This window comes from Homo sapiens, chromosome 4 (genome assembly GCF_000001405.40).
Source record: "Homo sapiens chromosome 4, GRCh38.p14 Primary Assembly".
Classification (NCBI taxonomy): domain Eukaryota; kingdom Metazoa; phylum Chordata; class Mammalia; order Primates; family Hominidae; genus Homo; species Homo sapiens.
This window is the reverse complement of record NC_000004.12, coordinates 151,526,188-151,548,294: the sequence shown is the minus strand read 5'-3', so window position 1 is coordinate 151,548,294 and position 22,107 is coordinate 151,526,188. Positions and strand designations below refer to the sequence as shown.

Sequence of the window (22,107 nt, the reverse complement as noted above, 5' to 3'; positions counted from 1 at the left end):
CTTATTAAATATTACTCTGATATTTCCAAAGCAGTTACCTATTTTGGTGTAGCACCAACAACACTAGACCAGGGGTTTGAATTCCTGGGTCCCAGTGCTGGTGCTGGCATGAACCTGAGGCATCTAGTGATAAGAGTCCACTAGATTATTAATTAAAGGCATTGAGTGGTTAGTCATGGAGACCCAGATTCAAGCACAAGTTATATCACTTAGTAGCCATGTAACCTTCAGCAGGACATTAAACCACTCCAAGCTTAAAGCCTCATCTGTAAAATAGAGGTGATCATGATGGTGCCTACCTCATGGGACTACAGGGGAGATTCAAAGTGACACTGCAGATAAGTGCTCACCACAATCTTTTTTTTTTTTTCTTTTTCTTTTGAGAGGGAGTCTCACTCTGTGGCCCAGGCTGGAGTGCAGTGGTGCAATTTCGGCTCACTGCAACCTCTACCTCCCAGGTTCAAATGATTCTCCTGCCTCAGCTTCCCGAGTAGCTGGGATTACAAGCACCCGCCACCATGCCCAGCTAATTTTTATGTTTTTGGTAGAGACAGCGTTTCGCCATGTTGGCCAGGCTGGTCTCAAACTCCTGAACTCAGGTGATCCGCCCGCCTTGGCCTCCAAAAGTGCTGGGATTACAGGCATGAGCCACTGTGCCTGGCCCAGCACAGAGTCCTTCTCACTGCAAATACTAACAAAAGTGAGCCATTACTATGAGCTATCTTTCCATCTGTGCCTACCAGAATCCAAGAGCTTTGGGGAGGAGTGGTGCTTCACATATTTTAAAAAATGGTAAATATTAAAACTCTCTAAGGTGTCAATTCACTGCTTTTTATCAAATTTATATTCTGGATTTCCACAGAACGTTTTTTTGGGGGAAAAAAAGAGTGTTTAAGAAAGTTCTAAGAACATTAGACTAGATGATCTTATAGCTTAAGCCTTACCTTTCTGTGAGCCTATGGCCTCTCTGCGGGGTGGCTCTTCTCTTGGAGCTACCATTTACACACTAAAATAGAGAAGTGTGTCTTGACTGTTTCAGACATACCTTCTTTCTAACATATCACCAGCACTGTATCTGCAGGTACTTCTGCCACTGCTCACACATACAGGATGCAATTGATGGCCTACAGTCCTTTATGACAACTCTTCAGGGGACAAGATACAGCAAATCAAGGGTACCACTGCACAAAAGCATGTCACACTATTCTCTCCTGGTTTCCGAGTAGCAGTAATCCACTCTAATCAGAATTGCCAACCTAGAGAAAAAACTGCCATGCAGTTTTCAAACTAAGGAACAAGTAGCAAGGCAGGGGGTGGCGGGTGCTGCTGGAACTGATGAAGTGGGGACCAAGGAGAATGTCTTTGTGATTGGAACCTGAGACCTTCAATCTCCCCCTACCTCTTGAGGCCAGCCCACCTGAAGAAACAAGATTTAGGCTCTAAAGTAGCAGAAAACATTTTTTGAGATAAAGACTCTGTTATTAAACCTAAATATTCTCATGGTTCTCCTTCTTTAACATGTTGCGTGTGTATGTCCACATTAACAGTTAAGCCAAATATTGAATCCCCACTTTCCCATTTCCAGATCCAATCACAGTAGGCATATTCTTCAGTCCTGGGTAACTGAGATTTCTCACTCCTCAGGTCTCAGCCTAGATGTCTCCACTACTAGGAAGAATTCCCAGAAGAACTTGTCTTTTTGCTCCTCAAGACTACAAACTCTGTGAAAGCAAGGTCTACATTTTGTTCACTGCTATATCCCCAATACCTTACACAATGAATATCACATAGCAGTCTGTATCAGTGAGAGTTCTCCAGACAGACAGATAGATAGACGAGAGAGTATTTACCAGGGGACTTAGCTCACGCAATTATGGAGGCCAAGAAGTCCCACAGGAGTCCATCTGCAAGCTGGAGACCTTGGATGCCGGTAGTGTGGCTCAGTCCAAGTCCGAAAGCCTCAGAACCAGGAAAGCCAATGTTATAATTCTTAGTCTAAGGCCAAAGGCCTGAGAACCTGAGAGTGAGGTAGTGGGGGCTGCTGGTATAAATCCGGGAGTCCAAAGGCTGAAGAGCCTGGAGTCTGATGTCAAAGGGCAGGAAAAGAAGAGTGTCTCAGCTTCAGGAGAGAGAGAGAGACAGAGAGAGGAAATCACCTTTTCTCTGCCTTTTCTGTCTACCTGGGCCGCCAGCAGATTGGATGTTCCATGCCCACACTCAGGGCAGATGTACCCCACTAGTCTGCCCACCCACCCACATACTGATCTCCTCTGGGAACACCGCACAGACACACCCAGAAGTGACACTTTACTATCTAGGTATCTCTTAATCCAGTCAAGTTGACACTTACAATTAACCATCACATGGGCCCTTAAGAAATATTTGAATGAATAAAGTTTCTCATCCAAAAGCATAATAAACAGCATAACAGCATTCAGGCATTCACCTTTCCCTGAAGGTGAGACATTTTTCAAAGCAGGTTTCTTTTTCAATTTTTTTAATAGGGAAATTTTAATTCAAAATAATTCTTATAATCAACTAGTTACATCCTTTGTTCTTTGTTAAGGACAAGAGGAGGGATATAGATAGGTTATTCTGAAAACTAAGAAGGATAAGGAGGCTGGGGGAGGTGGCTCACACCTGTAATCCCAGCACTTTGGGAGGCTGAGGCCGGTGGATCACGAGGTCAGGAGATCGAGACCATCCTGGCTAACATGGTGAAACCCCATCTCTACTAAAAATACAAAAAATTAGCCGGGCGTGGCAGTGGGCACCTGTAGTCCCAGCTACTCGGGAGGCTGAGGCAGGAGAATTGCTTGAACCCGGGAGGCAGAGGTTGCAGTGAGCCGAGATCATGCCATTGCATTCCAGCCTGGGAGATAGAGCGAGACTCTGTCTCAAAAAAAAAAAAAAAAAAAAAAAAAAGAAGGATAAGGAAATATTTTGCCTTGGAAATTTTAGTCAATCTTATTAGCAATATGGGTGGATATGAATTTAACATGTATGTTCTGCCTTGAAACTACTAGTTTTTTATGGCTTAATTAACACAATATCAAAGAAAGATTAAACTGCAAAAAGTCATTGCATTTACTTTTCATTCCACATTATCAATATGTAGAAATATTAATCCATGCTACCCAGACCTTTCTGGGAAACCAACTGCTCTTTTGGAAAATGCAAAAATAGTGAGGGCAGTGAGGACTTCCACACTTTTTGTTTTTAGACAGAGTCCCACTGTGTTGCCCAGGCTGGAGTGCAGTGGCATGATCACAGCTCACTAAAGCTTTGCCCTCCAGGGCTCAAGTGGTCCTCCCACCTCAGCCTCTCCAAGTAGCTTTGCAGGTGCACACTACCACACCTGGCTAATTTTTGTATTTTTTTGTAGATAGGGGGTCTCCCTATGTTACCCAGGCTGGTCTCAAATACCTGGGCTCAAGACAAACTCCTGCCTCAGCCTCCCAACTTCCACACCTCTGAACCTGCAGAGCAAGGCTGTATTAAGATGACAGCTCAGAGAACTGGTTCCAGAGGCAAGATTAAGTCAAGCTGAGCCAGCTTCCATGGATTTCCTTTTCTCAATACCATGGCAGAAGAGGGGAAAGGCCACACAGCCAGACACTGCAACTACCACCTAAACCCATAACCCCTAAGAATCCTATTTCCAAGCACAAAGCACTAAACAGCATCACAGAGTCTGAGGTCTCGGTCTGTGAGGGACAGGCCATATTTCAGGTCCCCATCTTCACACTCCCTCCAGTTGATCTTAAACAGTGGCACCTGGGAAGCTCTAAGCAGGAAAAGGAGAAATTAAATAATGACAAAGTTGGACTGTTTGGTGAGGTTAATCAGTATCCCTGTATCTTAGACCCAAAGTGTTGAAAACATTGATTATTTTGGTATATGGTCATAAGCTGCACCTCCAAGTTTGGGCAGCTATGTCTCACTGTAAGTGAAGCCAGATCGGGGTCAATGGGTTAAGGTAAGTGAAAAACAATGTGACATAGTGAAAACAATCAGAGCTTGAAAACAAGAAACATAATACTTATTCTGCTCCCAACCAGCTATACGAACTTGGACAGTTACTTCACTACTCTGTGTCTCACTTTATCTTCAAAATATGGAGCTTTAGTAAATGATTTTGTCCCGTGTCCTCCAGTTTCTGAATCTTAGAATTCTACAAATCCCACCACATCACTATTGAAAATTAGCCAAATAAGTACTCAGGGAGTACCATGTGCTTATTGCCCTAAGCACTTTGGTTCAACGCAATTTGAGCCATGACACTTGCCCTAGATCATCTATCACGTTAGCAAAGATGCATCAAAATTTTCACAATCAATCAGTGCCTTGAAACACCCTAGAGTTTTCCACTACAGAAGTAATAAATAGATACAACCTACTGAAAGGCAATTTTGCAAACATACCAGAAGTCTTTTTTAAGCCATAATCTTTGATCCATTTAATTGTAGAAATGTTTCTAGTTATAAAAAATTAGAAGGAAACAATATGTCCACTACAGTCTAAATAACAAATTAAATTGTTTGCATTCATTATAATGGTGACTTAGATTATTTAATGACAGGCAAATGCTCACACTATAATATTAAGCAAAAAAAGCAAGATGCAAAATTATATACATGGTATGATAATAATTATGTATAATGTGTGTACGTATAATGCCCTATATTGTGAAAGATATATGTATAATATTTACAAATAAGTTCAGGAACACAGATAACCTGTGAATAGTAGTTATCTCCAGGTGTATTGTATGCTATTCTTTGGTGTCTCCATATTCCAAATTCTCTATTATAGCATTCAATAATTATAATCAAAGAATTTTTTCATATATATACAGGACTGCAGGATACAAAACAATGAAGGCTTTAGCTTTTCTATGCCTATTACATGCATTAGGAGTTCAGAAAGCCATCCCTATGGGCTGGTGGTGAGGGGCTAAGCATACAGTTTTGGAGGGGGTTCACTTTACAGCATGTTTATCATACAAGGAGAATTTAGGTTTACAGTACAGTGCTTAAGAGCACAGACTCTAGAGCTGGATTTCCTAGGTTCAAATCTTAGCCCTGCCACATCTGCTGGATGAGGTTAAGCAAGTCACTCCACCTCTGTGCCTCAGTTTTCTCATCTATAAAATGGGGTACCAGTTCTTTCTTCATGGAGTTATTGTAAGAGCTAAACAAATTCACATAGGAAAGAGTTTCAGAACAGTGTCTATCTGACACATAGTAGCAATACATAAGTGCTAACATAATTATTAGAAGGGCATTTTAGGCAACATAATAACAATAGTAGTTCACCCTTTTGCTAAATTCTTACTGTGTCAGATACATAACACAACTCACACCTCAGAAGTATATGAAGGATGGGCTAGCATTATGCCCAATTTATAGATGAGAAATCTAAGGCACAGAGAGGTTGCCTTCCTGAGGTAAGTGGCTGAACCAGCATTTGATCTCAAGCAAATCTGCTCCCCCATGCTCTTAACCATGGTGCCATGCTGTAGGGAGCGGAAAACAAGCTTATTTCCCCCAGGGAAGACAACTGACTTTTGAGGAGCAGGAACTGCCACTGACAGAGTTCATGGAACCGAGTAATGACAGCCAGGCAAGGGAGTCAGGGGCCAGTTCATGAGGCAACTGGGAGCTCATAAAGAATTCTGAGCATAGTTATTGTAGGACAAAAGAGGGATGTAAGGAAATGAGTCTGGCAGATAAACATGGGATAAGTTGGCATGAGGCAAACGAGGCTGTTGAGAGAGAGAGAGAATACTGCAGGTAAAGCAGGTAGTACAGTGATGAGGGACTAAGCCAGGTGATAGCAAAGAGAATATAGAGTGGGACAAATCAAAACAACTTTGAAGGGAAAATTAAGAGAGCTTACAAATACTTAATACTGGGAATAAAAAAAAGCAGGGGATGTGGAGGGGACAAGTCACATTCCACCAAGGGCTGGACAAAAAAAGTTTCCATGTATTTTGATTTCCTTAAATGTTGTTTTGTGCAATTACTTATTTTTAAAGCATTGTTTAAAAACCTAACCAAGAGCAGCACAAAACAGAGCACCACACACACAACACTGTGTTGTAGAAAAAACTGGGTTCTCGTCACACAACCAGGAAAAGTTAGCCACACACACACTTTGAAGGGTGAAGGGGAACAGAATTTACTGGGCAAAAAAGAAAAAAAAGAAAACCTCTCAACAAAGTGAGAGAGGTTCCTCTTAACAGGAAAGGAGAGGCCAGGCTCCTCCCCACTGCAAATGGTGTGAACTTCCCAAGGCTCCAACCCATCCTCCCAGTGCACAGGCCAGTCAGAGATTCTCCAGGGACCCCTTTTTACTTGGCTGTCTCAATTGTACTCTGCATAAGCAATGCTTGATGACCGAAAAGGCGTACTGTAGTAAGTGACAAAAGTGTAATTAGCAAGGAATCATGGAGCATGAACATCTATTGTGTAAAGGAGCAACTATTTACAAAATCAAGATAAAAGAACCCACTAATGGCTACTACCGACAGAGCCCAGGTCTGATAACATCTCCCAGCATAAAGGCACACTGATTTACCCCTTGTTTTAAAGAAGCAGCCAGAGCTTGCCAACAAAAATATGTGATTGATCTAATTAGCTCACTGAACTGAGGAAAACAGTGTGCCAAAATCATGTGTACTCACAGATTACTCCTTCCAGGACAAAGCAGTGTTGCATAAAAGCCTATCCTTCAACTTAAACGTCACACTCATTAAAAGGGACGAAACCCAGCAGTACTTGGCATGCAGGAGCTTAATGAATATTATTGGATGTTGATGACACAGACATGAGTCTCAAAAGAATGAGCTCTCGTGATGGAAAAGAGAAAGAAACATAAAGGACTGTAAAAATGTATATGCAGTGGCTAAACTCCAATTACCAGCTCAGGCCAGGCAATTTTACTCCATTATGCCTGCATTAACATTCCCACTCTCAACTTAATGCTTTATTAACCTAACTGATAATGTCCCTCTTCACTCAGGGTTATTAGCAAATACAAGTCTGTTGAGACTGGCAAACCAGTTCATTCATTCAACAAATATTCCTGGGTACTTACCATCACAGGTAATAAACAATGATCTCTAGTCTTTTTGTTACTAATGCAAGAGAGGGTCTAAAAACTAGTGTAGCATATCTTAAAAAAAGTCCTTAATGGGAAGAGATGAACACCCTAGAGAAAAGTAACAACACTAGCTTCATCAAGTAGTCTGCTGATGACTCACTGGTTAGCTTTAGGAGGTACGTACATACTCAAAAAGCACGAGGATATTATTCTACTGTGTCTCACTCATGGACTGGAGCCAAAGTCAAGATAAGGAAAATTTTTATGTAGTTGTTTATCCAAGTTGTCTTGTCTGTTCTACCTTCAACATCACTGCCTCGGGGGAACATTGGACCAGGAAGCCATAGAAGCTCATGCTCCTGGAGCCCTGAGAAGTCTGGGAATAACCTAAGCAGCAAAGCAGCTGCCTGACTCAGGAGAGCAAAACACACCCAGAAAATACAATGGGAGCAGAACAAAGATTTGGCCATATAAGCTGACTGTTAATATTTTTTATTTTCTAAACTTATTTTTACCACTAGGATTTTATATAAGAAACTCTTTATCAGTTCATGTCTGAAGTAAGGATAGTTTATTATACCCAATTTTACTGCTGTAGAGTATTCTGAACACCTTTGAGCTTAAAAATGAATCACTTTATATTGAATAAGCACCACTTAATGAGAAATTTTTCACAGGAAGATAAAATGTCGATTTTACCATTTTATGAAATGTATACTTACTTATATTTAAGTATTTGAAAAGCTAAAACTAGGTAGAACTAAGGTATAAAGTGAAAGGATCAAACTTAAAAAAATATATGAGGTATTTCTGGATAGTCCGCTTTTGAAAGCACTGTTTTCTGTAAAAAGAGATCCTCTTCCCAAGTTGGCTGCAGGCTAGTCTTGGTCAACTACTCTATTTTATTAGCAATATAGCTCTGTGGGATGGAACTACAGAAACTCTATTGCAACTGGGATGATGGTTTGTAGATTAAGAGAAAATACCATTTAAGGTACATAATCATTTTAAAAAATGACACATATGTTCCTATCTTAAATATTTAATCATGAAACTTAAAAAAGCAAATTTATTTGCCAGCATTTTCACATAGGCCAAGGCTATTTCTTTAAGTACAGGTCTGCTGATTGAAGGTCAAAGTTGTCTTTCTTGCATAAACCTAACTTCCCATTTAGGTTACTTGAAGTTGAGAAGAACCTCAGTATGAATCAATTCAGTGCAGAATCCTTCCATATTTTAAACATCTTTGCCAATCATTTAGAGTTCTCTCTTCCACATCCAATTTGACACCAATATCTTATGGCAAGTTGCCTTTAGTCTTTCCAATTAATTCAACTTCATCAAAATAAACAATTTCCTTTTCACACACATATTTCATCAGTATACTTGTTATTTAATGAAACTATGTAATTACTGTAACAATGCACACAACTCAGCAGTGGGAGGAAATGTTTGGAACCTTGAGCACACATGGGAAATAGCCTACCAGACAGGGCACTCAGCAGGGAGTGGGCATGAGAGTCAATGTACTTTCCAGAGAGAATGGAAAGCACTGGTAAACCAGGGAACCACATAGATTGGTTAAGAGAACGTCCACTGTATTTTTTTTTTTTTTTTTTTTTTTTAGACAGAGTCTCCCTCTGCCACCCAGGCTGGAGTGCAATGGTGAGATCTCAGCTCACTGCAACCTCCGCCTCCCAGTTTCAAGCTATTCTCCCGCCCCAGCCTTCCTAATAGCTGGGATTAGAGGCACCCACCATCATGCCCGGCTAATTTTTTATTTTCACCACGTTGGCCAGGCTAGTCTTGAACTCCTGACCTCAGATGATCCACCTGCCTCAGCCTCCCAAAGCGCTGGGATTACAGGTGTGAGCCACTGTGCCTGGCCACGTCTACTGTACTATAAAAAGAAGTCAGTTGTATTCTCAAAAGCTAGTCTCTAACTTAAAACAGTAACTTTAATCATGGTTATTCTTGCTTAAAAAAGTATCAGTTAAGTCTCTCAGAGAGGGAATATCTGTGGCTTTCTGCCACATCCTTTGGGGGAGAAGTGCTACAGAGTCATCGTTTTTGAAAAAGGAAGCATATACTGCTATCTATATAGCCTAAGGTTATCCCCAGAGTTTAATTTGCAATATTTACACTGGACAATAATCCCTAATAGAACGGCTGGTAGAAAAAATACTGGCCTTGAGCAGCACACTTACAAGAAAATTGACAAAGAGATTTGCAAATTTATATTCTCCCTCCCAACCTCACCTAAAGACACTGCTCCATACCTATGTAAAACTATTACAAATTGGCAGCCAGAATACTGAATCCAGCCCACAGATTTATGTTTTATTTTCATCTGGAGACCTTTGAATATAACATTCATGCTCTAGTTTGTCATAGAACTCATCACATTCTATGGTCTCACATCCGCCTGACCCCAGTGTGCATGCCACTGAGCCAGCTAGATACACAGTTCCGCCATAACTTGACTCTGTATAGAAAGTTTGGTTAGTTTCTGGCAACACCAGAAGTGTTCTTAGAGAGGAGGTATGCGCTTTTGCAGAAGTACCCAACCACATCTCTAAAGAAAGACTAGAGAGCTCACTTACCATGGAGAAATAGTAATGGCTCAAGGTAACTATTCAAAAACTTTAGCATTCCTAAGAACCATGTGGGAATCTTTCTGAAATGCAATTCCTAGGGCCCTATCCCTTCAGATTCTGATTTGGAAGGTCTGGGAATGGAAATCCAGGAATCTGCATTTTAAAAAGTACTTCAGGTGACAGGACAGATGCAAGAGGTGAAATAATAAAAATGTTAACAACTATGAGCAGTTACCAGGCCCTATACCAAGCACTTTACATGTAACAACTTAATCCTGGAACAACGCTATAAAATGGGTACTATTATTATTATCCTCATTCTACAACTGAAGAAATTGATGAAAGGAGAGATTAAGAAACATGCCTGTGCTTATACAACTAGTAAGGGGAAGAGCCAGGATGAAAAACCAGGCCATGAGGTTAAAGAGTTCACCCTCAACCATCTCCTTATACTCCACTACTACTATGGTCTAAGGGAACGTTCTCAACATGAAATACAAACCCCTCAAAGTTTGCTGCTTCTGACTCAGTTAAAGTCATTTATCCCTTACCCATGAATCCCCACTGTCACATTCACCACCATCCTTCCTGGTCAGGATGAAGAGTTCTTTTACATGTTACAATTACAGAAATTGTGGAAGAATTGGCAAAAGAGGCTATGACTGGGATGAATGCCAAGACTCAGATGCCCCTATTCTGAAGCAGGATTGCAACATTTCAGAAAAGCTCTGACAGCCTGAAATAAAAGAGAGCTGTACCATTCTCCAGCTAAAGATATGAAAAAGGAAAAAACAATAGTCTAGTTGTTAACAAAACAAAGGATATTCCAACCCAATTTCTAACACAGTTACCTCAAGCTGCAAAATTATGACCAATGTTAGAGGGTCTCTAAGGGATGAGTCAAAAGTCCATACCAGCTAGGAAAAGAGTTCTTAGACTTGACACCACAAGCACAATCTGTAAAAGAAAAAACTGATGAATTGAACATCATCAAAACTTAAAACTTTTGCTCTATGAAAGCCCATGTGAAGAAGATGAAAAGGTAAACTACAGACTGGCAAAAATATCTGCAAACCACATACTTGAAAAAGGACTAGTGTCTAAAATATTAAACTCTCAAAACTCAACAGTAAAAAATTAGAAAAGGGGCAAAAGACATGAACAGAGATAATTCTGAGGAAATACAGAAGGCAAACAAGCACATGAAAAAAGTTCAACATTACTAGCTATTAGGGAAATGCAAATTAAAACCACAAAGATATATTACTGCATATCTATCAGCATGGCTTAAATTAAAAACAGTGAAAATAGTAAATGTCAGAAAAGATGCAGAGATACTAGATCACTTGCTGGTAAGAGTTTAAAGTGGTATAGTCACTCTGGAAAACATTTGGCAGTTTCTTAACTAAACATGGGCTGGGACAATGGCTCACACCTGTGATCCCAGCACTTTGGGAGGCTGAGGAGGGAGGATCACATAAGCCCAGGAGTTCAAGGCCAGCCTGGGCAAAATGGTGAAACTCTGTCTCTACCAGAAAAAATAAAAATAATTAGCTGGGTTAGTGGTGACCACCTGTAGTCCCAGCTACTCAGGAAGCTGAAGTGGGAGGATCGCTTGAGACTGGGAAGTCAAAGCTGCAGTGAGTCGTGTTCATGCCACTGTACTCCAGCCTGGGCAACGGAGTAAGACACTGTCAAAAAAACAAAAAAATAAAGAATAAAAAAGCAAACATGTAACTACTGTTCAATCCAGCAACTGACCTGCTGGGCATTAATCCCAGAGAAAGGAAAACTTATGTTAACACAAAAACCCGTATACAAATGTTCATAGTAGTTTTATTTCTAAGAGCCAAAAACCAGAATCAGCTGAGATATCCTTCAATAGGTAAATGATTAAACAAACTGTGGTACATCTATACCATGAAATACCACTCAGCAATAAAAAGTAATGAACTATTGATACCAACAACAGCTTGAATGACTCTGCAGGGAATTATGCTGAGCGAAAAAAGCCAATCTCAAATAGTTTCATCCTGTATGATTCCACCTATATAACATTTTTTAACGATAAAATTTTAGAAATGGAGGATAGATTTGTGGTTGCTAGGGATGATGTATGGGAAAATGGGGGCAGGGAGGGCAGGAGGGAAGTGGTGTGATTATAAGAGGGCAATAGAAGGGACCCACATAGTGTTGGAACTATTCAATATGTTGACTTTGGTGGTAGATATACAAACTTACACAGATGGCAAACTTTGTAGAATGTAATGCGGGCACACACAAAGAGCACAAGTAAAACTAAGGAAGATGTGTGAACTGTATCAATGTCAATAGCCTGGTTATGGCATTATGCCATAGTTTTGTAAACTGTTACCACTGGGGGAAACTGGGCAAAGTGTAGGAAGGATCTCTCTGTATAATTATTACAACAGCATGTGAATCTACAATTATCCCAATAAACATTTTTATTGGGGGGAAAAAAAAGTTCATGTTCTCAAGTGTGAACTCAGACAGTGCATTCTTTCACCGGGAATATAAAATGGCCCACTCTTTCCAGAAGGCATTTGGCAATGCTACCAAAAGTGAGAAACTCACATAACCTTTTATCCAACAATTCCATTTTTAGAGTATTAACTGTAACGAACAAATTGTAATGTGTTGAAAATTAAGGGACAAAAGCATTTATTCAGCAATGGCTTTTATACTTAAAGACTAGAAACAACTAAATGTGGTACATACACACTATGAAGTTCTACCTAGTCATCAAAATAATCTTTTGGAATTAAACAGTGAACCTGGAATGATAGTCAAGATACATTCAGTTGTTCCACAAATATTTATTCAATTCCTTCTACAGGCCAGGCACTATTCTTGCACTGGGAGTTTTAACAAATGCCAAATAAGGTATGATCCCAATGTTTCATTAAACTGTACAGTCTGAATGATTGTTAGTAAGTAAATAGGTGAGAAAGAACTAAACACACATTTCTGTGTGTGTAGTTACAAATACACATATAAGTATGGACATACATACACATATGCACATAGATATACACATAGATATGTATATATAGTGTAAATTCCAGAAGGACATAACTGGAAATGTCAATAATGGTTCCTTCTGGAAAGTGGGATTGTGTATGTTTAGTTTTGTTTATCTGTATATTCTAAATTCCTATAATTACTAAGTATAACTAGATTGATTTTTTAATTATTGGAGGAAAAAAGACTGGTCCCCAGAGAGTGCCATTTTATGACATATTTGGCATTAAATGGGTTTATTTAACCAATCTGCTCGTGGCTGGGTATTTAGTTTGCTTTTAGGTTTTCAGTGTCATAAACACTGTGCAAGGAATTTCCTTTATTTTTCCCTTTGAGACAGGGTCTTGCTCTGTTGCCCAGGCTGGAGTGCAGTGGCACAATCACAGCTCACTGCAGCTTTGATTTCCGGGGCTCAAGCAATCCTCTCCACCTCAGCCTTCCATATAGCTGGTACTACAGGTGTGCACCACCACACCCGGCTGATTTTTTTACTTTTTGTAGAGACAGTCTCCTTACGCTGTCCAGGCTGGTCTTGAACTCCTAGGCTCAAGAGATCCTCCTGCCTCAGCTTCCCAAGTGCTGGAATTACAGGTGTGAGCCATGATGCCCAGCCAAGGAACATTCTTTTAACTAAGCATTTGAACATACCCATGATTTTGTCCTTCAATTAGAATCCCAGAAGTGGAAACATCAGCTCAAAGAGTAGGAATATCTGAAGGCTTTTGATGTAAACGGACTCCTCAAAAGTTGTACTGCTTTAAACTCCAATAACTAGTGATCCATTTTCTCCATGCTCACTAATGCTGCTAATCAACACTGAGGATTAACTTGTTCTTGGATTCTCTAGAATTTCACTTTTGGGGGAAAAAATTATTTTAACAGCAGATAAATACACTATAATTACTTGGTTGTCAGTTAAATTTGAAAATATAATTTGTCAATTTTACTTTAATTGCAGAATTTTGACAGACCCACTAAGATAAACAAAAAATCATCTCTGCAGAACTCTATATTTAATTCAATGATCTTTATTTAGATAACCATTGTGGATTCATATCTGACATCTCTAAATCTTCAGCTTACAGAGATCAGCCTCCCCAACAAGAACTCCCAAGCTAAGGACAGAGGTGGCCTTTTTATAGTAACTACCTCATAGGAGCAATATGGGGAAAGGTGACACAATAGAAGCTCCATGTGCCTCCACGGACATATTAAATGGTTCCCAGATGTTGTTTACTATTAGTGTTTCTATTATAAGTAACATACCTTTAACATAACATAGTGAGAACTTAAATAGCTGCTATTTCAATCCTCTTTTCATTTTACAGATGAGAAAACTGGAGTTTGCAAAGGTGGGCCTCAAATTCAGGTTTCCTTAACGCCAGTCTGATACTCTTTATCTAACACTATTTTGTCTTTTGGTAGGTTTTCTATGGACAGACTGAAAGCTAGAGACACCTTAATTCTCACAATTACACTAATCAGAGCAATCTACAATTTGAGATTTAAGTCTACATGCTCAAAATATACTTCATTTACAGATATCTGCCTGGTTAATAATAATTCTCTAAAGCAGATATTTTAAGTTGCAGGCTAAAAGCAAATGGGTTTATATCTGCCTCAGAAGATGATGAATGATTGATTACAAATCTCTACTCTGATACAGGGTTTCTGATTGCATTAGACACAGGCATGAAGACTAATTAAAAATGCTCATATATTCATCACGGTTGATTGTGCATAATCCACTGCTGAAAGTACAAGTGCAGCACCTTCTCTAAAATGACAGAGGAAACAGATGAATTTCCACTCAGAACTCCCGGAGGCTACCTGTCTTGAATTCAGGGTAAATGGGCTTTCCCTAATAACCTAAATCACAAACAGAATGATAGTTAAAAAACCCTACACCAAATTTTACTATTCTATCTGAACAGGGGCTGGCTAGGCCTGGTCACATGTTATGTGATCAATAAATAATTACAGATGGATTGGTAAACAGTTCTATAGGCATACTCTACAAATTTTCAAAACTAATTTTTCTAGATGCCTACAAAATTGGAAGTCACAATTATGTGTTACAATGAGCCAAAGGAAATATATCCTTTTTTTGTTTGTTTGTTTGTTTGTTTGTTTTGAGACAGGGCCTCGATCTGTTTCCTAGGCTGGAGTGTAGTGGCACAATCACAACTCACTGCAGCCTCAACCTCCTGGACTCAAGCAATCCTCCCGCCTAGGTGCCCCCCAACCCCGACCACCAGCCCAGTAGCTGGGACCACAGGCATGCACCACCATGCTCAGCTAATTTTTTAAAATTTTTGTAAAGACAGGGTCTTGCCACGTCAACCAGGCTGGGGAAATAAATCCTACATACCACCAAAAACACTCCTTAAACTGACTCCCTTATATACATGCTCCAGCCCTAGAGTGGGTAGCTAGTACAGATCTCTCTCCACAGCTAAAGGGCTACAATTATTATCTGACAGTCGAGTGTTGCACTCACCTGCAAAAACATCAATAAGGTTGATATGGTTTGGCTGTGCCCCCAAACTTCAACTTGAATTGAATCTCCCAGAATTCCCACGTGTTGTGGGAGGGACCCAGGGAGAGGTAATTGAATCATGGGGGCAAGGCTTTCCCATGCTATTCTCGTGACAGTGAATAAGTCTCACAAGATCTGGTGGGTTTATCAGGGGTTTCCGCTTTTGCTTCTTCATTTTCTCTTGCTGCTGCCATGTAAGAAGTCCCTTTCACCTCCCGCCATGACTCTAAGGCCTCCCCAGCCATGTGGAACTCTAAGTCCAATTAAACCTATTTTTCTTCCCAGTCTCAGTATGTCTTCTCCTACTATCTGTTCTCCTATTATCTGTTTCTCCTATTCCTCAGGAAATGTCTGTCCTCTCCCTGACTCCACCGCCATCCCAGAAAGCACCCCCCACCAAGTTCCTCTTTGATCTGATTCAGGAGTTAGAATCCTTACCTAGCTTTAGGACATAAGGATGGCACTCACTGTGTTGCCTGAAAGTGCCCCAGTACTAAAGGAGCATACGCTAACCTTCCTCCAGGAGGCTCTTGTGGCACCTCTGGATGTCTGTAATGAGAGTGGCCATGAGGGTAGAAAAAGAAAGAGTACCTTGTCCATGAAAACTGCACAACAGAGTGTGTGTTTGGAGGACTGGCTTAAAACTCAAAATCCTGTTGAATGAAGATACTTGAGGTACTAGCTTTTGACCCACTTAATGTACAAAGGATCTGGCAAATGAAAGTAGATTAGAAATTACACAATCTGTGTAAATAGCAAGAAAAAGATTTATGAAATTCAACACAGCAACTATAAACCTAAGGTGGAAAGGGGAAAAATAATGAAGACTCTGAGCTTGAAAATCATCCCAGTTTCGCAATGACAAAACCAAAAAAACGATATAGACCAAACAACAGCAGAGCTGTCATGTAGCTACTCAACTTCTGCTTTTAAAAAAATAATCAAATAGCAGCATTGAAATATGCGATGCCACGTATCCACATACTCTACATTTCTTCCATATAAAATGCTACTGAGCAAAACTTACCTTTTTTATTTTGTAACTTTCTTTTACATTCCTTATATATTTCTGTGTTGATTTTTTAAATTCTTGCCTTCTTTACCTCATTCTCTTCTTCATATACTTCTTTTTGGGCCCTGGAGATCCAGATTCTGACTTAGGCTCTGTCCTTGTAGATACCAATGTAATTTACGTAAGTGGCATGCATTGCACATAAATTTATTCAGTAAATTCTACTCTGTACCAGGACCAGTGCTAGGTACAAGGAAGACAACAGTGAACAAGTCAAACATGGTTCCTCTCTTTATGGAGCTTAGATATGAAATCAACAGTCTCTTTCAGTTCTCAGAGAACTCTTCTTCTCCCTCCCTCATGGAATGAACTTCATCTTTTTCATTTACATTATTAATCACCTTTAACACTCCCATAACAGTCTGTCTCATATGAAAATTTTACTTTCTAACAGAGATTCGGCCAGACTGGTTCATAAGGCAAAAAAAAAAAAGAAGAAAAAAGAAAATGCGGTACAGGGATTCTACAAAAATCAAGGCCTTGAAAAAATACGCACAGTAGTGTTGTTTTAGATGAACACAGAATGTGTGTAAATGTTATAGGAAAAACTGGGCAGGGGAGAGGAGGAGAAAGCACAGAAGGCCCCTCCACCTCAACAATTGGAACCTGATCCAATGAAAGTGTGGTCACTTGGTCATTCAGTCCTGATTGCTTAATGAAAGTGTGCAAATCAGCAGATATTATGCCTGAACGTTCCAAATGTCCCTAATTATGACCAAGCAGATGAAGGCCTTAAAAATCACACTTCACCCTATTTGAAAGGGTTGCTGGCACATCATTAATTAAAATACCTCAGCTCCCAAATACATTAGAAGCATGATAATTATCTTCATACAAAATGTGCTTTAAAACACTTGAAATACTTCAAACTCTAGGGTGACAACAGAATATAAACAAAAAGACCATGCATTAAGGCTCCTGTCCATTACTGTGTTGCTGCAGACAAAGTTAACAGCTCCCCACTTTGGGAATAAGAAGCATTGACAGCCCTAGAAAGAAATGTGGCAATTATCCTGATTATTATTATAATAATATTAGCACCACGTAACTTTTCTTGAGACATTACCATATGCCATGCACTATGCTAAGTGTTTTTGTACCTGCCCCAAGCTCAGAGAGACTGAGTAACTTGCCAAAGGTCACCCAGCCAGAATGTTTCAGAGCAGAGAATTAAATTCAGGTCTGTCTGGCTGCTCCAAAATCTATACTGTTTGTTAGTCACTACAACGCCACCAAAGAGGCCATGTCAAAAGAGGGGAGGAGGCAGGAAAGAGAAGGAGTTGACAATTGCAAACGTTTTCCCAGAGTTCATTTACAAGATTAAAAATGGTCAAAACCACAGAAGTTGAATGTTGAACCACTAGAGAAGCCCAAACAGAATTCCAAAGATTCCCTAAACAGGTTACAGAAAACTTGCCTTCTCTTCCAAGACTGGTAAAATTTGAACAAAAAGAAATGGCAAATCTGTAGCATGAGGAAAGAGTGATTCATCAGGAAGGTACCTAACTGAGGAGAGGCAGTGGAGCCACATGGGTACCCACTTTCATCTAGTTACCCAACCAATATGAATCGTATGCCTACCATGTGCCAGGTGCCTACCTACTGCCCTGGTCTCGGGCCTCCATGTGCTTGAGGGCAACCATAAAACCCTAAAGGAGGAAAACAACCTGTGTACAGAACCTGTGAAGGGCAAATGAGCAGGACTGACAGGATCTACTTCAGGAATGCTCAGTTCTAGTGTTCTCCAACTCAGGAGGAGACTTCTCAATTGAAGAACCACCCCCACTCCAATCCTGAATTTAGTTGTACTATAGTGAGGACAGTATTGACTCCAGAGCATTGAGTTCGAACGACTTATTTTCAATAAACGCAAACTCAGAATCTTTCTTAGAAGGCATTTTCCTAAAGATGAAAACATAGGACACTACTCTGGTTGTGTGACACTAGGGAAAACAGTTCTGAAATTTTACAGCCTCTCCAAGAATAAGAAAGGGCCAGTACTGTTCGTGAAGTTTCAATATGGCCCCACCTCATCTTTGAAAAACTCAAAATTGAAAAACATGCCATGGCCTACTGGAGTCAAATAAATCTGGCTTCAAATCACAGTTTTGCTACTTACTAAGTCTGTAACTTTAAGCAAAGTACTTAACCTCTTTTGGCTCCAATTTCCTCAGTTTCAAAATGGGGATAACCTCCATCCTTCTAGAATCTTATGGACACGAGTGTACTCTTCACCCCAGCTGTGATGCATTCCCTGCCCACAGCCCCCACAAAGGGCACAGGTTATGTTGCCAACCACTGCTCGGGGGCAGCCTTAGACATGATTTCCTGTACCAAAACATACACACACCATCAACCTGCTAGTCACAGGGAATGGAACCTGACAGAATGAGTGATGGGAACCTGATTTAGAAGCAAACAATCCCTAGGCTGGCCTTTAACCTATGATGTGCTCTAATGTCAGAGATAATCATGAATTAGCTCAGCCTTTCAAATTATCCTGGGGATTTGAACTAGGAGGTAAAGCTAGATGGCAGCAGGCAGCAAAGCAGGTAAATCTGAGACACAAGGGCAACTCAGAGAGTAGCAGGCTACAATAACGGCGGACTCCCAGAATGACAGTCCACAATCCCTCAGCCTTTTGATTCCAGCCTCTTAGGTGACTAGCTCTCCTCAGCCCTTGCCCTTCCTGAAGCCTAGCTATTCCTTTTTCCTAGGATCTAACAGTAAGCTTCCCACTACCTGAGGTCACAGGAGGGTATCTCTATTCTTTGCAACCAGAGATAAAGTAGGTGGGGAGCCTACACCCACCTGTGAAAGAGGCCATGAGGAGGCAGAAAGCCATTTACCAAGCTGCTTTGTTGGACTTCACTGAAAAGACCGGGAGGGAGAAATGACATGACCCATCTAACTGAGAAGGGCTCAAGATGCCTCTCACAGAGACAGGCTACCAGAGGAAGCAACCAGAGGGCAGGTGGAGGGTAGAACACCCCAGTTACAATAAGTATAGGATAACTTTAAGAAGTTCCATGAAGTGAAACACCAAATAAAGTCCAGAAGCTCTCATACTTTTGCCACAATTTGTAGCCTCAGCTGAAGGGGGGGAAAATATTATTCTAACACTTCTTAAGACTGAAACAAAGCCAAATGTTGCTGGTTTTCTCCTTGAGATAAGGTTCCATTAAGGAATGAAAAAAGAAAGACTATTCAACACCCTCCAAACAAAAACCAAACGACAACAGTGAAAAAACCTAAAAGCAAAGTTTCCCTCTGCTCCCCCATCCAAATACATAATTTAAAAAATGACAGTCAAAATAACAAGCAGTATCAATCCTGCAGGAGCCATTACATGAAGCCTTACCCAATGCTCACCTCCTCCTAGCCTGGCCTCCAATCCTATGCCAGCTTTTCTGGAGCACCTTTGGGGTCCCTTTCCATGTATCATTTATTTTATTACCTAGCTTCCAACCAAAATTTGTTCCACTTCGTGTTTTCTGGTTTAAATAAATGAGTTCTATATTTCGACAGAACGGACAATGGGTTTCAGCAGATACCCATGATGTACATTTCATAGCTATCTACTTCAGCGCCTTTCTCAAATTTGCATATAACAGAAAATTTGTTTACCATAGATTTTAAAGAGGCAGTAGAGGAGCACTACTGCATAAATCAAAGCTGGGAGTGAAACAGGGGTACTCTAACAGGCCAAGGCATAATTTATCCAGATTTATTTTTCGTCAGACCACTACTCAACTGGCCATGAAAATTACTGTTCCTATTAGCTCTTCCTTCAGTCACCAAAAGAACCAAGCAGCTGCTGTATTGACAAAGTATTCACTTCTCACAGAGGTGGGGAGAAGCAGAAAAACTCAGATCTGAAGCCACTGGCCTGGGTCCATTCAATAAGCTATGAGAAATACCTGAGATAACGCTTGGGCTTCTGTTTGGAGCTACACGGTTTTTATTCTACTCTCTCACTGTACAAAATTCAATACCTTCCTGGCATTGAGTGGCAATAGCCCAAGGTGATAAGCAGTGAATCACAACCAACTTCATTGAGTGGTTTTTTGCAGCCTATAAATAAAATCAGAATCTTTGAAGCTAGTAAACCTTGTGAGGTCTGAGTATCTCAAGGTTATTCATTTCTGAACCTCTCTGGAAAGAGTATAAACACAATCAAAAGAACTATGGTTTATGATTCACAGAATTTCTTCATGCACAGAAATTCACCTTTTAATTATCAGAGCATTATACTGAAGCATTGCAGACCTTTAACTTCTCAGCCCCTGTGTTACCAATAAAAATAATAACAATAATAAAGTCAATTTTCCAGCAGTTAAGAAGTACAAAGGTGCCCTCTCCCTCTCCCTCTCCCTCTCTCTCTCGCTCTCGCTCTCCCCACGGTCTCCCTCTCCCTCTCTTTAAACGGTCTCCCTCTGATGCCGAGCCGAAGCTGGACGGTACTGCTGCCATCTCGGCTCACTGCAACCTCCCTGCCTGATTCTCCTGCCTCAGCCTGCCGAGTGCCTGCGACTGCAGGTGTGCGCCGCCACGCCTGACTGGTTTTCATATTTTTTTGGTGGAGACGGGGTTTCGCTGTGTTGGCCGGGCTGGTCTCCAGCTCCTAACCGCGAGTGATCTGCCAGCCTCGGCCTCCCGAGGTGCCGGGATTGCAGACGGAGTCTCGTTCACTCAGTGCTCAATGGTGCCCAGGCTGGAGTGCAGTGGCGTGATCTCGGCTCGCTACAACCTCCACCTCCCAGCAGCCTGCCTTGGCCTCCCAGGGTGCCGAGATTGCAGCCTCTGCCCGGCCGCCACCCCGTCTGGGAAGTGAGGAGCGTCTCTGCCCGGCCGCCCATCGTCTGGGATGTGAGGAGCCCCTCTGCCTGGCTGCCCAGTCTGGAAAGTGAGGAGTGTCTCTGCCCGGCCGCCATCCCATCTAGGAAGTGAGGAGCACCTCTTCCCAGCCGCCATCCCATCTGGGAAGTGAGGAGCGTCTCTGCCCGGCCGCCCATTGTCTGAGATGTGGGGAGCGCCTCTGCCCTGCCGCCCCGTCCGGGATGTGAGGAGCGTCTCTGCCCGGCCGCCCCATCTGAGAGGTGAGGAGACCCTCTGCCCGGCAACCGCCCCGTCTGAGAAGTGAAGAGCCCCTCCGCCCGGCAGCCGCCCCATCTGAGAAGTGAGGAGCCCCTCCGCCCAGCAGCCGCCCCGTCTGGGAAGTGAGGAGCGTCTCCGCCCGGCAGCCACCTCGTCCGGGAGGGAGGAGGGGGGGTCAGCCCCCCGCCCGGCCAGCCGCCCCGTCCGGGAGGGAGGTGGGGGGATCAGCCCCTCGCCCGGCCAGCCGCCCCGTCCGGGAGGTGAGGGGCGCCTCTGCCCGGCCGCCCCTACTGGGAAGTGAGTAGCCCCTCTGCCTGGCCGGCCGCCCCGTCCGGGAGGGAGGTGGGGGGGTCAGCCCCCCGCCCGGCCAGCCGCCTCATCCGGGAGGGAGGTGGGGGGGTCAGCCCCCCGCCCGGCCAGCCACCCCGGTCCGGGAGGGAGGTGGGGGGGTCAGCCCCCCGCCCGGCCAGCCGCCTCGTCTGGGAGGTGAGGGGCGCCTCTGCCCGGCCGCCCCTACTGGGAAGTGAGGAGCTCCTCTGCCCGGCCACCACCCCGTCTGGGAGGTGTACCCAACAGCTCATTGAGAATGGGCCATGATGACAATGGCGGTTTTGTGGAATAGAAAGGGGGGAAGGGTGGGGAAGAGATTGAGA

General features: G+C 42.1%; 1 protein-coding gene across 8 annotated transcripts in view; it reads right to left on the bottom strand.

Annotated features, from left to right (window-relative positions):
- The window catches only part of FHIP1A (FHF complex subunit HOOK interacting protein 1A), a 261,328-nt gene that overhangs the window by 122,209 nt on the left and 117,012 nt on the right, over window positions 1–22,107 (bottom strand). The window contains exon 1 of one of the 8 annotated variants that reach the window (XM_011532220.3): window positions 13,395–15,308. The exons of the other annotated variants lie outside the window; for them this stretch is intronic. The gene's annotated coding sequence lies outside the window, so the exon portion shown is untranslated. Of the gene's footprint in view, window positions 1–13,394; window positions 15,309–22,107 lie in introns of those variants that run through there. 8 annotated transcript variants of the gene reach the window in all.